The sequence below is a fragment of the Homo sapiens genome, chromosome 2 (assembly GCF_000001405.40).
Source record: "Homo sapiens chromosome 2, GRCh38.p14 Primary Assembly".
NCBI classification, from domain to species: Eukaryota; Metazoa; Chordata; class Mammalia; order Primates; family Hominidae; genus Homo; species Homo sapiens.
Genome location: NC_000002.12, coordinates 170,378,532 through 170,395,761, shown reverse-complemented (window position 1 = coordinate 170,395,761; position 17,230 = coordinate 170,378,532). Strand labels below are relative to the sequence as shown.

The following is a 17,230-nucleotide window of genomic DNA, read 5'->3' as shown; positions in this document are numbered from 1 at the left end:
TTTTTTGTAAATCTCGTCAGTTTTTCATCAGTTCTTCCCTAAGCACTGCATTAGGACCAGCTGAAGGACCTCCCCACAGGCTCTGTTCCAACACTTCTCGGTCTCCTTTGCAGAGGCTCACAACTTTTGTCATCTTAAAAGTCAATGGTATCCTATTGTCTGTCATCAAGACATTAGAAATCCTCAAGACTCCCGAGTCATATTTTCACATATAATCCTTCAATCTCTCTTCAGAGCAGTACTCTCTCAATTCATAATCTATTTTGAAGAAAGGGAAGAAATTTTGCGCCGATCTCAAAGGCTTCTCCCTAACCTCTCCAACAGGGATCTATAGTGTACGTCCAATCTTGACCATCACATAGATCATCTGCCCAAAAAGTTTTCATGTAGCATTAAATAGAAACATATCTAAAACCCAATTTATGTAATATGTTAATTCCTACCAGGAAGACAAATATAATTTTAAACAAAAATAGTATGGTTTGGCTCCAGAAATAAGAGTTGAAAAGCACAATCTTCACAATAAGGTCTTAGGTATAATCCCCCAGCCCTCCACAAGGAGTCATCATCATTATTAGTGGAAGACTCCTCCACCAGGGAAATTTCTTTACAATAAACTCAGGGTCAAGTGTTCTTTCAGATACTTTGGCTGTTGTCCCAGAATTAAAATTCATGCTCCTGACTCCACACTAAAGTTTGCTACTCATAATTTTGCTGTAAGGGTTTGAGAAAAACTAAAGGGATTCCTGCAGGGAACTAGTGACATTGTAAGAAAGGAGAAGAACCATAATTTTGATTGACTTGATCAGTTCATTTAAGCTTTATCTAGAAATGTCTGCCAGAAAAACTTAAGAGAAAGTTCTGTTACATCAGCATTTGGCATCTGTTTCCTGACTACCTTCAACTGGATCTTTCTGAATTTAGTCACACTACTTTTTGAGTTTATAAACATGAAGTGAACTGAGTTAACTCAGCAAAACAGGTTGTCAGCAGAGATAGAACCACAGAATTCAGAGTTGGAGAGAGAAGATCCTGCTTCTTCCTTTCATTTCTAAGGTTGCAGCTTATATAAATTGGTTTATTTCCTGTATGAATTAATGTGGGACATGGTGAAAATATACACACATAACACCATTACATTCTGGTTATTCATTTAACAGTACAGACCAGGCACAAATGAAAAATGTTCACCATCTTTTACATTTTTTTCTTTTCATGTTTATTCATACAGTCATTCATTTATTTCTATTGTACCTTTTTTCCCAGAGGGGCTAGGGATGGCTTACTTCAAGGACATATACTTAACATACTTAATTCTTCTGTTTTTAATGCTTTAGTGTTGTTGTACTAAAACAGATTTTAACAGTTTTCAACGTTGTTTATCCTGAAACAGATAGCATCTGTTTTATTATTATTAGCAGTACATTGCTATTATTAGAATGGCACCATTATATACTTTCTTTTAACCCACCTAAGCCTGAGGTTGCAATGTTTTGAATTTTTGCAATCAGACCTTGGTGATGACCTTGAGCAGTAGGGTATAAATAACTCCCACATGTTTAGCATTCCAATAATGGAACACTAGGCATAAATGGGTTCAGCTAGGATCAGTCTCTTCACAGTATTCTATAACTATATTTGTACTCAAAGAAAACAAAATATTAACTCTGTTAATGATTATTAACCTTGACTTCTCTATGGTTCCTGTACCCTTTTAAGGACATGTGCCCCTGCGTACTTTGGCATGACACAAGTGACTTTAAATTGCTCCACTGCCATTCCTACCATGCTTTAACTCTTCTGGGGATGCATCTTTGATTTAAAAAACCTGTTCTTTAAGTTAATAACCACAAAGGTCCTTTAACAATGCTAGAACCTGTTTAATTGCCCCCCTCTAAGAAGCCAAGGAAAATATATTTATATTTTTATCTGACCTTTGGGATTTTCCATTGTCTGTCAGTTTAAAGTCTGCGGGAGGCTGACAGAGAAAATTAACAGCTGGCTAGACAGAAAAAAAAGAAAGGTACTATTATGATTAAAATCAACCATGCAGGGGAGGGAAGGGCTAGCCAATCATACTGCATTACACAGAAGTAATCCTTTATCTGGAGTGGCCATCCCAGGGTAACTGGAGTGTCTTGTAATCTAATCCCTTAAGATTTAACACTCTCACCTACCTCCTAATAATTCACCCCCTTTGTTGGAAAAGCAAAAGAATCTATATATTTTGCAAAATTGATGGCATGAAGCCCAGAAACTATGACATAATGTATCACAGAGTAATATTTGAGCCTAGGGTTATAAATATTGTCTGTCACCCCTAGCATATATTTAATACAGACAGCTTGTATCTAGGATGATAAGGGTAGTACAGTATTGGCCAGGCATGGTGGCTTATGCCTGTAATCCCAGCACTTTGGGAGGCTGAGGCAGGTGGATCACTTGAGGTCAGGAGTTCAAGACCAGCTTGGCCAACATGGTGAAACCCCGTCTCTACTAAAAATACAAAAATTAGTCAGGTGTGGTGGCACACACCTGTAACCCCAGCTACTCGGGAGGCTGAAGCAGGAGAATCGCTTGAAGCCAGGAGACAGAAGTTGCAGTGAGCTGAGATCCCGCCACTGCACTCCAGCCTGGGTGACAGAGTAAGATTCTGTCTCAAAAAAAAAAAAAAAAAGTAGTACAGTACTTAGAGCTATAGTTAATAATGTGCAACTGTGTACCCTGGAGAAGGAAATAACTGCAAGAAAGTTGAAAGGGTTTTAATTAGTTTGTCTTGTTACCTAAGGAGCTACTTGCATAAATATATTTCTGTGACTTGGGTGTCATCTACATATTCCTGTACTCCTACCCCCCGTTCACTTTAATGGTTGGAAGAACGCTCAATCAGAAAAAAAACCCACAGTATTGTTTTGGTATTTGTTATTACACGTGTAATGAATTGATGACAATGATAACAATTTATCAGCACATGGTCCTTAAAACAGTGCTCCCCTAGTTTGATGTTCATCTGGACTTCTCGTTAAAATGATTATATTCTGATGCAGTCATTCTTGGATAGACCTCAGGGTCTGCATTTCTAATAAGTTCTCAGGTGATAACAATGTTTCTGGTCCTGGGACCACACTTTGAGTAGCAAGACCTTATAACATGACCAACATGGCATTTGAAAGCAAGTGTCTTATCCCAAGTGAGAAATACCACATCTTTACTCACATTCATATAAGAATATTGTCACTTGAGTTCCTCTCTTGATCATCACTTACTTTGTCCGTGAACCCTATAATCCTGAAGCAATGCTGAATTGCTTCGAATTGTCTTCTGTAAGACTCCTTGGAAGTTATGTCGTGCATCACCCTTCCAGTTTCATCAGCTATGTACCTAAATGAAGTGGAGCATGACCAAACAGAATGAGCACTGACTTGGAAAGTAGTACAGGCATTTCCATTTTTTGTTTGTTGTTTGTTTAAAGATGGGACCTCACTCTGTTGCCCAGCCTGAAGTGCAGTGGTGTGATCATAGCTCACTGCAGCCTTGAACTCCTGGGCTCTAGTGATCCTCCTGCCTCAGCCTCCTGAGTAGCTTGGACTACAGGTGTATGCCACCACACCCAGCTAATTTTTTTTTTTTTTTTTTTTTGAGACAGGGTCTTGCTCTGTCACCCAGGCTGGAGCGCAGTGGCACGAACTTGGCTCACTGCAGCCTCGACCTCCCAGGTTCAAGCAGTTCTCCCACCTCAGCCTCCCGAGTAGCTAATTAAAAAAAAAATTGTAGAGACAGAGTCTCACTATGCTGCCCTGGCTGGTCTCAAACTCCAGGCTTCAAGTAATCCTCCCACTTCAGCTTGCCAAAGCACTGGGATTACAGGCATGAGCCGCCACACCCAGCCCATTTCCTTTATAGTCTAATACTGTGGTAGAATAATGATGCAAATGGCTGAAAAAAAATAAACCATGTGCAGTTGAGTTTTTGAACTTTCTAGACAATGAAAATGGTGGATACTTCCTGCCACCTCACCCTGGGCACTTTAGTTAAATAGACTGTGAGTTTCCAGTTAGGAAAACAGCTCCATTTACTTCCAAGTTTGTCAACTGCTAATCGTACATTCATCAAAAATTAACAACCAACCCCCCTGACACTTACCTAGGAGGTTTTTCCTCAGGAAGTCTGAAATCAGAAAGCTTCTTTTGGTGATGAAGACCAGCATAAATATAGTAAAATATATGAAAATTTTTCTCTCTCCTGAAAAAAAAAGAGACTTTAGTAATAATATATTCTGGCTTCCCCATCCCAAGTATTTTACACCATTTCCTTTCTGTACAAAAGATTATTCCATGGCAAATTTGTATTTTCAGGCAATTAAATATTATAAATCCCACTTACAGAATAGTGATAGGATTAGTATAGTAATTGTCATAATGTTGCATTATTAAACACACTTTACGACAAGCAAAAGGTTTCAGAGAATGGGACATTTACAGGAAACAGCTCAAGTTACATATGTTGAGCTCTTTCTATTGCAGCCCAAACGCCTACTACCTTCTGCTTGTACCACATGTTGCTTCAGAGACAGTGAGGTCCAGCTTAGAGACATCAGCCAAATCCTCTACTTTACTGGAGCCCTAGACAGGAAGTGGCCTGCAAGTCTCACAGCAGGTTAGGGAGCAGAATTGGTCCAGAACTGAGGTTTTTCACTCTCCCAAGCTGGTATTCTTAAAAGTACTACTCAAAATGTCATTCATTAGTCTGGTCTCCTGCCATCCACCTCTTTTAGGCTACCCTGGCCAGGGTCCTTTCAGATAGGTGCTACTCTGAGCATAGCCTGTGGACTGCTGTCAGTTTCTAACAAGAGAAGGAACTGGTAAGTACATGCCTAGACGTTTTATAGCAAGTGACATTGCCATGACATCCAAGAGCATGATAATTTTTCTGATAATTAATTTGCATTGCATTTTACAAAGGTATTAGTTCAAAATGGGTTGGAGATTTTTTTTAAAAAGTGGTCCCTTAGCACAGAGTTTGAAAAGCACTGCTCCACATCCCCTTCTTTCCTCTGGAGGAGGACAGTCTCTTCTGTAGATACCCTTGGATTTTGGCAAATCTTTTCTTTGGTCAACCTAGCTCCATGAAAAGAAATCGTCTTTCTTCTCCCCTTATCCGCCTTTGTGGCATGGCCCCCATTCTGTTCAGCCTCTCCTGGGTCTCCTCATCTTCCTTTGGTTGTTTATCCTGTCAAAGCCCTTCTGTGACATTCTTTATCCCTGCCCTGTATTCTAGATGCCTCTACTTGCCATTTCTCACTCACTTGTTCACTTAACTAATAAATCTAGTTAAGAGACAGGGTCTCACTCTGTTGTCCAGGCTGGAGTGCAGTGGTGAGGTCATAGCTCACTGCAGCCTCAAATTTCTGGGTTCAAGCAATTCTTGCACCTCAGCCTCCAAAGTAGCCATGACTATAGGCACACATCACCATCCCCCACTAAGGTTTTTGTGTTTGTAGAGACAGAGTCTCACTATGTTGCACAGGCTGGTCTCAAACAAGCTATCTTCCTGCCTTGGCCTCCCAAAGTGCTGGGATTACAGGCGTGAGCCACTGTGCCCAGCCCTTATTTTTATTTTTTAAAAATAAATTTTATTGTGTATATTTAAGATATACAACATGTTATAGGATATATATAAATAGAAAAATGTGACTATTCAATGAATAAACATATTAATTGCCAGTCACGGTAGGCACTATACCAGGTGCCAGGGATACAGGACTAAAGGGATTCATGTTCTCTGAGTGTCATTATAAGAAGCCAAGATGGCTACAGGGAAACCAGTGAGGGGGTCCAGGTGAGAAAGCATAATAGCTTGGATAGGGTAATGGTAGTGGTGATGGAGAATAACGGTAAGCTTAAATATTATATATATTCTGGAGAAACAACCAAAAGAACATCCTAATAGACTGAATGAGGATGGTGACGGAAAGAAACCTAGAGTCTGCCTCCTAGATTTCTAGCTTGAGCATCTAGTGATGGTGGCACCCTTCACTGAGACAGGAACCGAAAGGCCTGAGATGAATGTCACTTGTTCTTTAACCTCTGTTACATGTGCAGGCTTTGGCTGGCCCATCTTAGTCTTACATTCCTTTAGTTTTTCTACAGATCCATCTAGTTCTCAATTCTTCCAAGCTTTTCCTGCCGACATCCATCCCTAGCATCACTTCAGTTTCATTTTCATCCCTTTATCTGTCAAGATTGGCTAGGCTTTGTTATGATAATAAACACCCCCAGATCTTAGTAGCTTAACTCAATAAAGGTTTAGTTCTTGCTCAGAGTACATGTCCATGGCAGGTCAGCGGTGGGGCTGTGCTCACTGCAGTCACTGATGGGCTGTGGCTGGCAGAGCAGCCCCCATCTTACACTGTGCCAGACTCTGGAGGGTTGCCATTACATGCCCACTTGCCAGAACCAGTTATATGACCACACCCAGCCACACAGGAACCCTACAGTGTGCCCAGAAGGGGGTGAATCCCAACAGTTAGATGAACAGGACTGGGACAGGCCCCATCTTCTCTTCATCTCATTTAATTCTCATAACAGCCTTGTGAGGTTGACATTATTATGCCCATGTTGCATATGAGGAAAGTAAGGTATATGAATATTTACATTAATAAGCAACATATCACATTAAGTGACCTAGAACTCTCCTCACATTATCTTTGTAAAAGACCACTTTACATTTGAACACAGAACACTATGCTTTCCATTCTGTCAGAGGTAGCTCCCTAAATTTTAAAACCACCCTAACCTGGGGAGACAAAAGCAGGGGACCTCATAAAAATTAATCAAAAAGCCACAGGGAAGCGTAAATGACTCTGACTCTGTCTTTCATTTGTTTAATGTTCATGCCAGTCCCTACTGCGTGAGGAAACTGCAAGTACATGATAGAGGAAGATGCTTGGGTTTTCAACCCAGAACAATTCCTGTAAATTCTACTTGCACAGTATCTCTCAGACTCCTCATCTTCTCTCCATCTCCACTGCCACCGCCTTAGTCTAGGCCAGCGTTCTCTCTCACATGAATCTGGCAACAGCCTCCTAATCATGTCAACACAATCCTTGCATCTCCCCCAATCCATTCCCCATTGAAGCTAGCGTGATCATCTCAAAATGAAAGTTGGGTATGGTGACTCCCCTGCTTGAAAACGTTCAGTGGCTTCCTATTGCCCTTAGAAAAAAGTTTGAGATCCTTATCCTGGTTCCAAAGCCCTGCATGATTTGGTCTCAGTCTTATCTTTGCCACTTTTCCTCCTTGCTCTGGTCCCCACCTCGTTGCCTAACTCCTGGTGATCCTGTGATCTCATATACAGGGAGCCCCTCTTTCTCCCTAGACTAGGTTATGTGTCGTTCCCTTCTCTCGTTTCACCTTAATAGCACCTACTTTGCTTTCTGGTGCTTATTACAATTGTTCTACATTTAAGTTTACTTGTTTAATGCCTGTGATCCTCCCCTACTGCTTCCTCATATACCGCATACTCTAAGCCCCGTGAATACAAGAATCTTTTTTATTTAGTTTGCTCTTACAAGCCAACACAAAGCACAGCACTGGCAAACAGCAGGGATTCAATAATGCATTAATATGGAAGTGCGGAGCCATGCTCCTGAGAAACTCTGGTGTCCTACAATAATAATAATAGCTATTATTATTAACAATTATAATAATAGCTATTATTATTATATGAAGAGTTATTATTATAATAGGAAGAGTAGCTAACACTCTGATAGTATGTACCACACCAGTGGTTATATTATTATCATAGGAAGAGTAGCTAACACTGATAGGGTGTACCACACTAGGCATTCTTTTAAGTAATTTTATATAAATGAACATGTTAATCCTCACAACAAACCCATGAGGTCAGCACTAGTAGCATTTCCATTCCACAGATGAGGCACAGAGAAGGTTAGTGAAATGCCCAATGTCACACAGTGAGTATCAGAACCTGCATTTGAACCCAGATCAAAGTCTGTGCTATTGATTTCTATTACCAAATGCTTTCCCTAAAAACAGAATAATTGTTTTCTCTATCTGTCTCAATCTAAGGAAAAAATTAACATGTGAAATATTCTTGGTGTCTTTTTCTTTTTTAACCAACAAGTTCAATTTTAAGGGGCCTCAGGGTTTTAAAAAATGTCTGCAATGCTGCTAAATTCTACCTGACACAACCAACTCAGGAGAAACAAGCATACCCATCCCTAAAGCACGCCCACCCCAGCCCTTTGTACTCTTTCCATTAATTTCTTTTAGGTCAAAAACTACCACTGATCCTTTGCTTAAATAATTCTTTGCCCTTGGGGAGGGTAGGGGAATGTTAAGAACAAGAATGAAAACTGAACCATTAAAATTTCCAAAGTCTCCCAGTTTTTACTGCAGGGCAAAAACACAGTGATAAAGTAGTGCACCTACGCTGCCTGTTTTATAACTCTGGATTTTTCCAGGAGATATTCAGAGATTCTTGCCCCCATCACAACTCCAGTTGGTGTAAACATCATTTCCAGATATTTTCCAAAACGGCTCGAGTTGTCATTGATGGCAGTGCATGAGTTCCCAAAGGCTTCCACCAGGGAGTTGACTTGTAGAATTTTCTCTCTCAAGGTCTGATTATTGGCCTGTGCCAAACAGAGAACGGTCAAGAAGAGACTCCAGAAACATTACACCAGCAAAGTTGCCAGGCACCATCCCTTGCCCACCAAAATCCACATGGTCTTTTTACAAAGAGCCCCATTTGGGGGACGTTAGCATCAACCACCAGCATCATTTTCTCATATGAGCAACTCCCCAGATCTGCATATGAATCGGATTTGGCTAGATTAGGACAGCAGTTTTAAAAATCCAGCCATATTTCATTTAAAATCCTTGACAGATAAAACACCTAACCAGTTTAGAAAGATTTTTAAATAGATCCCGTAACTTTTCTGGCATTTATCGTAATAGTCTATAAACCTTATCTATAAAAATTCCATACATTCTTTCTTAGTCACCTAGTACACTAATTCAGAGTGTAAGTAACTACTAGACTATTTGAATTCATTCTTTCAATATTGATTTCACCAAGCTGAAAATTTTCATTTCCCTCAACTTTTGCTCAAAGGCTTCTATTTTACATCCTTTTAATCACTATAGTGGCTTTCCCTGATCCTGTTCCTAGTGCTTAACCATTTTTACTACTTAATGGCTGAATGTTTCTATTACATTGAAAACATGAAAATTAATTGCCGATAATCTAGTAAATTTGTGCTGGAATTATTCTCCTCCCTACGTGAAGGAAGGATAGCATGCTGACATCTTAAGAGGCCTCGCTATCAGGAGGCAAACGTAGCAAAGATGGAATGTCTTTATGTAAGCCTTAATAAAAAAAACCCAGCACTTCCATCATTTATCAAATATGCAGTTACTCTGTAGGAACTTCTCGCCACAATACGTAAAGCAGATTAGTCAATACCTTTCCCAAGAAAGTCAAATGCTGAACAATCAGGTGGGCGCTTTCTGTCTTCCCAGAGCCACTCTCTCCGCTGATGACAATGCACTGGCACAGAAAATGGAGCGTCAAGTGAAGAATTTATAGCACAGAAGCAACTTGCATGCTTCATATAACATCCACTACTGTACACCTTAATTTTTCACTGAGAGATAGATCTTAGGCATCTTCCTATTTCAGTACATAGAGACCTTCTTCAACCTTTTGTATAGCTACTTGTTGTTCCATTGTACATATGTACCATAATCTGTTTAATCTGTCCAATATTGGGATATTTGAGTTTTTTCCTTGTAATTATAAACAACATTGCAATGAATAACCTTATACTTAAGTCATTATATTTTTATGCAGGTTCATCTGCAGGAGAAATTCCTAGAAATGGGGATGTTGGATCAAAAGGTAAATACATTTGTAAATTTGACACACGTTACCAAATTGCTTTCCTAGGGACTATACCAATATGTGAAAGTGCCTGCTCTCCTGTAGCCTCAACAACAGAATGTTAGATTGTTGACAATCTAATAGCTTAAAAAAATGGTATCTCAGTGCAGCCTTATTCTGCATTTTAAAAATTATGAATGAGGCCTCCTTCCATATGCTTAAGAGGCTTTTCTTTTACATGACCTGTCCGTATTGTTTGCCCATTTTTTATTGTATTGTTGATATTTTTATCATTCATTTCTAGGAGCTCTTTAGGTATAAAGGAAATTAGTGGATGTGGTATAATAAAAATTATATATTGGGTCTTTGTCCCTGGTTCCTGGCACTGAGCTCCTAAAACCTTTGGGATTTCCAAGAGTGGTAGGAGTATCTTTCGTTATTCACAAGGAGCCCCTTTCAACCATACCTCAGTTTATTCCTAAGAAGGTGGTTCAAGGTGAGCCCCCTAGACAGCTTCAGACTGGTCATTAGAAAGACCAAACATGTGATTAGAGTGTGGGAACTTTCAGCCCTACCTCCCAACTTCTAGAAAGAAGAGGGGATTTAAAGATTAAGTTATACAAATTCTTGAACAAGGAGATTCAGAGAGCTTCTGAGTTGGTGAACACATTGAGGTGCTGGGAGGGGGATGTGTCCAGAAAAGGCATGGAAGCTCTGTGTGCCATGCCCCCTTCCTCCCCCCATACACCCTGCCCCATGTGTCTCTTCTATTTGGCTGTTCCTGAGTTATACCCTTCATAATAAACTGGTAAATGTAAGTAAAGTGTTTTCCTCAGTTCCTTGAGTCATTCCTAGTGAATTATCAAACCTAAAGAGAGTCACAAGAACCCCTGGACTGGTATTCGGCTGGGCAGATGTGTGAGAAGCCTAGGTACTCCATTTGCAGCTGGCATCTAAAGTGGGAACAGTCTTGTGGCACTAATCGCTTAATCTGTGGAGTCTGTGCTAACTCCAGGTAGTGTCAGAATTGAACTGAATTGTTGGGCACCCAGTTGGTGTTGGAGAATTGGTTCATGCTGGAAAAAATACAACATTTGGTGTCAGAAGTGGTGTCAAAAAAGACAACACAGTGAGGCAACTTCTTAACTTAAAAACGATATATATTTCTCTCCATTTACTTCCTCCCTATGAAATCTATGGACATTTTACAAGTATCTGGGAAAGGTAAGAATTTGGAAGAGCTAAGTTTCTAAGCTACAGTGAATCCATGTATTCCATTTTATAATCTATGTTGTTATAATGTCATCTATTACTCAACAAACCCCAAAGCTGGGACTTTTCCAGATCTTAGGAAATCCACACATTGATACCCTCAGAAAATTTGCTTGCCAAATTAGACTACTTCTATTTCAAACAGAATAAAGAAACAAAGAAAAATATACCTATTGAAAGTAAAGAAGGGATGAAAGATTAGATATATGAGCAATGTGAATTAGAAGGCTAGAAAGGTAAAATGGATGAGCCTGTGTTTAGTATTGAGTTTAAGGTTTGTTCATTCTCTACCCAATCTATCACAATTTTTCAGCAGCTAAATGGTGTGGTGCATGGTCACTGTCAACCTCTGTGCAATATTTCATACAAAAAAGACTGAATCATGAAAATTCTAAGACCTTAATAGGAAAGAATTTCACTTATGCCATTCTATATGCTATTTTTATTACAATCACTGCCATGTAATCAGGTTGCGTTTGCACTGTTCTCATCATATTCATATTAGAGACATTTTTATTATATCTTATCAGAGAAAATGAGCGCACCTCATGTGACTGTTTTATGTTTCTTGAAAAGCATTTTCACATTCTCCCGATGCTATGGCTTTACCTATGCTCAAGTTCCACAGAGCTGCCACTTCATCTCCTGTCTCTTTGGGTCAGCACCAGCAACCGGAATGGAAAGGTTTCAGGAAGACTTAGGAGTTGACGAGGAAGACACAACATGTCTTAACTGGGTGACTCCGTAGGAAAGGAAGGTGAGTTCTTACCTGGTCTTTGCTGAGAGTAACCATGCACTGGTAAGCAGCATCTGCTGATGCAAATATGTGGGGGGGATTGGAGGCGCGTTTCACCCCATGATAAAGTCTGGAAAACTGAAGGAAAAATAATTAAAGGAAACTCTCCCCTGGACCATCTAATACTCCACTACCTATTGCCCATGAAACCAAGAATCTGTCACTTATTAGGGTACTTGTTGCATTAGGAAGACTGTAGGGTATAGGTTCTGGAGCCTGCAGGACTGAGTTCAAATTTCACTTCTATACTTACTGGCTTCATGAGCTAGTAAGAGGGAGTTCACTCTATGCTAAGTCTCCCTGTCTGCCAACTAGGTTTAACAACAGTACCTGTCCCACAGGGTGTGAAAAAGTGAGATAACCCAGTGTCTAACACGCAGTAAGCACGCAATAAATGTTAACTATTATTGCTATAGTTTGCTTTAAAAAGGTATTCTCAAGATGTAAAAATTCCATTTGTATTACATTACTATCTGCAGTTTGGAGTATATACATCTAGGGTAGCATAATTTTATTCTTACTTTTTCTTTCTCTTCATTTGCCCTTGTGAGTTTTAATTTCCTATTAAGGAGCAGTATGCTCTTAAAACATCCCTTACCTGTGGAGAGTATATGCTTAGATTCTGGAAGGGGTTTAAGGCAATTAAGATGTCTCCAACATATGTGTAAATTAGCAAGTCTGCATAACGTTTCTGCAACTGATGGATAATTGTATCCTAAGAAGAGGATAAATGGTATTGAGGTAAATATTATTCCCAGTCAAGGGATAGATTCTAAAAATGACAACAAATTTATTCTTCCAAGAACATCTTTCTCTAAACGATGAAAGTAGTCCATTTAAATCATACAATGACCCTAATGATCCCAATTCATTAAAACAATGCCAATATTTGCCTTGAAAGAAAAAATAGGAATACACTGAAAGAATTAGGCCCACTTAGGACTTGCTAAAAGACACTGAGATATCCAACAAAGATTTTACTTGTTATTGTGAAAAAAAAACTCATCTCAACCAGTCAAAATGTTGTATTTAAAATTTTATTTAATAGGCTGTTCCTACTGATAGAGCACCGACAGAATGGTAAGTTAATTTCTCAAAGCACTGCACTTAAAACCTAGGTGGCATAAATACAGAATTAACCACTTTGTATTACACTTTAGTGATTTAGACATTGAAGGTAACAATCCCCAGAGTTAGACTCAGCATAAACAGGTCCAGTGCAATTAACAGCTCTATTAAACATGCATATTTTAAATGGGGATTATCACAGACTTCAAATTTAGAATTCAAGCTATATTAACTTCACTATTTCCCTAAATGAAGCTCTTTCTTATGAAGAACAAACAACTTCTTAAGGGTTAATTGAAATATTTTATCAAATTTTATCAAACAAAATATTTTCAGCTGATATAATCCATCATTAAGGCTACAATATAAAGAGCTTTATTGCAAAAATCCAAATCCTTTTCTCTTCATCATTCTAGGGGCTATCTAAATAAACACAGCACAGGATCATAGTCACAGCAACTGAATGCTCCCTGAACTTCATCCCATAGCTACACAAACAATTAAATTTTCAAATGACCTTAGGAGGACATGGTCTACAACAGAAAGTTCAGACCATTCACATGAAACAAATGTCTTCAATGAGAATTGTCTACTAAATATTTAGTACCTCATCCAGAACCTCTAGGTTGACCAAATCATCCTCAAGGCAGTATTTTTCAGCATCTTCCACATGATAAGGTCTTCTGGTATGCATCCTCTCATGCCTAGAAATTTATCAAGAGAGTTTAAGCATTAAGACAGCAAATAATGTAGCAGAAAGCGGGCAGCAAGCATGGCTCATTCACAATCTTATCACGTGATATGTTCAGAGACTTCAGAGACAGGGACAGGAAGTCCAGTCCAGGTCCCCAGGCTTTTCCTGCCACTGTAGAACTATTGGGATAAAGTGATCTCCATAGTTCAAGTCTACTTCCTGCCAGAGTGAGGAGTGTTACCAAATGGGCCCACCTAATACACATACTTGCTTTTCTTAAATGCCAAAGACAGCACTTCCAGAATAAACACCTCTGACTTCTGCTCAGTGTCAGGCACATAGTTCTCACTGGGGTATAGCCATAAGTGCCTTACTTCCCTTGAGGTCCCCTTGCTTTATCTACCAGCACCACCCCCAACTTTTGTGATAGTTTTTAACCTACGTAACACTTTCAGAGATTAATATAGTAAATACCAAATAATTGATCACTGTTTATGTTTTTTCTTATTCATGTGAAATCCCTTTGTGACCCTTGTCCCATCCCACTCCTCTCTCCTGAGGTGACCACTATTTGATGGGTTTCCTTCCAGTCTATTTTTAAATATTGGTCATATGCCTATAGATACCCATGAGCAATATACAGGTTCTGTATGTTTAGTTATAAAAATGATATCATACTTAGGTTTTATACTGTAAGCTTACTTTTTTCATTAAACATTATGATTTTTAAACTCTATTTATCTATCTATCTACCTATCTACCTTACCCACTTACCTACCTACCTAGTTCAGTCACTTTAATCACTGGGTAGTATTATACTTTATGAATATGTACCTATTTATTTACTCAGTCCGATGGGGGGGGTTGTTGTTTTTAAAATTTTATTTATTTATTTAGTAATTTTTAGAGATGGGGTCTTGCTCTGTCACCAGGCTGAAATGCAGTGGCATAGTCATAGCTCACTGCAGCCTCAAACTCTTGGGCTCAAGCAACCCTCCCCACTCAGCCTCTCAACTAGCTGGTACTAGAAGTATGCACTATTGTGCCTGGCTAATTTTTTAAAATTATTTTTTGTAGAGATGGAGTTTTGCTTTGTTGTCCAGGCTAATCTCAAACTTCTGGCTTCAAGTGATCCTGCCACCTTGGCCTCTCAAAGTGCTGGGATTACAGGCATATGCCACTGCACCCGGCCTACTCAGTCCTATGTTGATCAACATTTAGGCTGATTCCAATTTTTTTGCTACTAGTAATAATGCAACACTTAAAACTTTATACACATCTTTTTGTGTATATATGTGAGTTTTTCTCCTGGAGGGCACTGTTCACTAAGGATTTAAAAATCTTGTTTGATAATCAGTAATAATCCCCTCTGGTATACTAAAATATAGCTCTTTAAGGTTTAAAATTAATTCAAGGTCAAAGTAGGCCTTCCCGTAATTCCTTTCATAAACTCATCACTCCTCAATGCGGTTTAGGAGGAAAGCATTGGCTAGAAGAGCTCTGGACCCTAGTTTCAGAGTTGCGAGCAATGTGGTATGAGACACTCAGCAAATCCCTTAACAGCCAGTATATCGGTTTTCTTCATCTATAAATAGAATTACTCATAACTGATCTGTCTATCTCCCAGGTAGCTGTGAAAGCACATATAGTCATGGATATAAAAATGCAATAAAGTTGAAAACATGTACTAATTATTATTCTTACATCCTTGTTAACATTTGGAATCAACAATTTGCATAACTACACACATTACTCTGAATATCATTGACTAAACAAAATCATACATAAACTGTCCTACATACTGTAAATTCACTAGCCCAGAAGCATAACTTCTTGATTCTTCTCTGTCACTTTTGTGCCCATCAACATCACAGCTTATGAGGATATCACCCACCAATACAATTCTATCTAGCTAGATCCTAGAAGCTGGTGTTGACTGAAAGTTTTATGGTAAGTACCAGCTAGAAGTCATGGAATCTTGATGTACACCCCACCCTTTGGTATGCATTTCACAAAAGTAGGTAAAAAGGAAGAAGCAAACTTATCAGCTCTGCATATTGAGTCTTGAGTTTATAATGCAATATTAATGGCCAAATAAAATGGATTTCTCTCTTTCTAGCCTATTAAGTTAAATCTTACCTTTCAATCTCCATCACTGATAAATTTGAAAAGAGATATTTGAAGCATGCTATTAGTCATCTCCAGTCCTAGAACCAGTTTTGCTGCTAATTCATATAAAGGTCCAAAGTAGAATGAAGCTTAATTTTTATTTAATCAAATCAAATTTATAACCTAAGCAGTTTAAAATTATTAAACAGAATTATTTATCTGTGACTTTACATATTGGTGATGGCAAAGAAAAATCAAATTGGTTTGTAATACAGATTTTTACTAAAACTCAGAGCTGCTGCCTGCCTCTAGCTAGCCATTTTGTTAAATAAAACAGCAGGAGGATACATATTTCCGATCAAAATCCCCTTCACATAAAACCTAAGAATAATTTTGCTTGAAGTTAATCAAAAAACAAAATACTGGCTGGGTACAGTGGTTCACGCCTGTAATCCCAGCACTTTGGGCGGCCAAGGCGGGTGGATCACAAGGTCAAGAGATTAAGACCATCCTGGCCAACATGGTGAAATCCCGTCTCTACCAAAAATACAAAAATTAGCTAGGCGTGGTGGTGCACGCCTGTAGCCCCAGCTACTCAGGAGGCTGAGGCAGGAGAATTGCTTGAACCCGGGAGGCAGAGGTTGCAGTGAGCCGAGATCAAGCCACTGCATGCCAACCTGGCAACAGAGCAAGATTCCGTCTCAAAAAAAAAAAAAAAAAAATTGTACCACATTTTCATGAAATAATTAAATTACCATATTAAATTCAGCTAGTTTGTCTCCTTCCTACATTTATATCTTATAATTGCATATTCTGCACATCATTTGACAAAGAAAATCAATAATTAAAAAATTACCTCAGATCTGGTTCTGGTCAAGATGGAGTAAGCCCTCTCCACTCCTCACTGAAGACAACTAAATACCCTTGTCAGAATGCATGGAGCAGCTATCTTAAGACTCTGAGAAGTAAATTGTAACAGGCAGACTGGGGAAGGAAGTCAGAACTCAAAATACCACTGAACCAATGGTGAGTTTTCCAGGCTTTTTTTTCCTTCAGTAACTCCTGACCTGGATTTAATGGCAGCCTGAGCTGCATACAGAAATGCCAAGCTTCACATTGGATGACATTTTTATAGCCAACTAAAAATGGAAGCATGGACCAAACCTTACTTGCAATCTCACAAATAGATGCAGTCTAGTAGAAAGTTTTAATTTTCAGTGTGAATATACACAATGCAATATCACTAGGATCAACATTGGTATCTTCTGAGCCTGAAGGAGATTGTGTGCTATGCCAATCTGTCTCACAGATATAACTTCCAAGAATCATGCAGATGTTGTCTGCAAATCTGAGCTTGATTCTTGTAAAAAATCTTCCCCAATAAT

At 39.0% G+C, this 17,230-nt stretch overlaps 1 protein-coding gene across 11 annotated transcripts in view; it reads right to left on the bottom strand.

Annotated features, from left to right (window-relative positions):
* Nucleotides 1-17,230, bottom strand: part of MYO3B (myosin IIIB) — a 477,021-nt gene that overhangs the window by 259,406 nt on the left and 200,385 nt on the right. For all 11 annotated transcript variants that reach the window (NR_045682.2, NR_045683.2, NR_045684.2 and 8 more), the window contains 7 exons: nucleotides 13,650-13,746; nucleotides 12,573-12,689; nucleotides 11,948-12,052; nucleotides 9,490-9,573; nucleotides 8,454-8,656; nucleotides 4,144-4,242; nucleotides 3,267-3,381 (listed from right to left, as the gene is read on the bottom strand). Coding sequence is in view for 8 of the 11 variants with exons in the window: in NM_138995.5 (NP_620482.3) it covers nucleotides 3,267-3,381; nucleotides 4,144-4,242; nucleotides 8,454-8,656; nucleotides 9,490-9,573; nucleotides 11,948-12,052; nucleotides 12,573-12,689; nucleotides 13,650-13,746 (820 nt within the window). In the remaining 3 variants the exon portion in view is untranslated. The remainder of the gene's footprint in view (nucleotides 1-3,266; nucleotides 3,382-4,143; nucleotides 4,243-8,453; nucleotides 8,657-9,489; nucleotides 9,574-11,947; nucleotides 12,053-12,572; nucleotides 12,690-13,649; nucleotides 13,747-17,230) is intronic.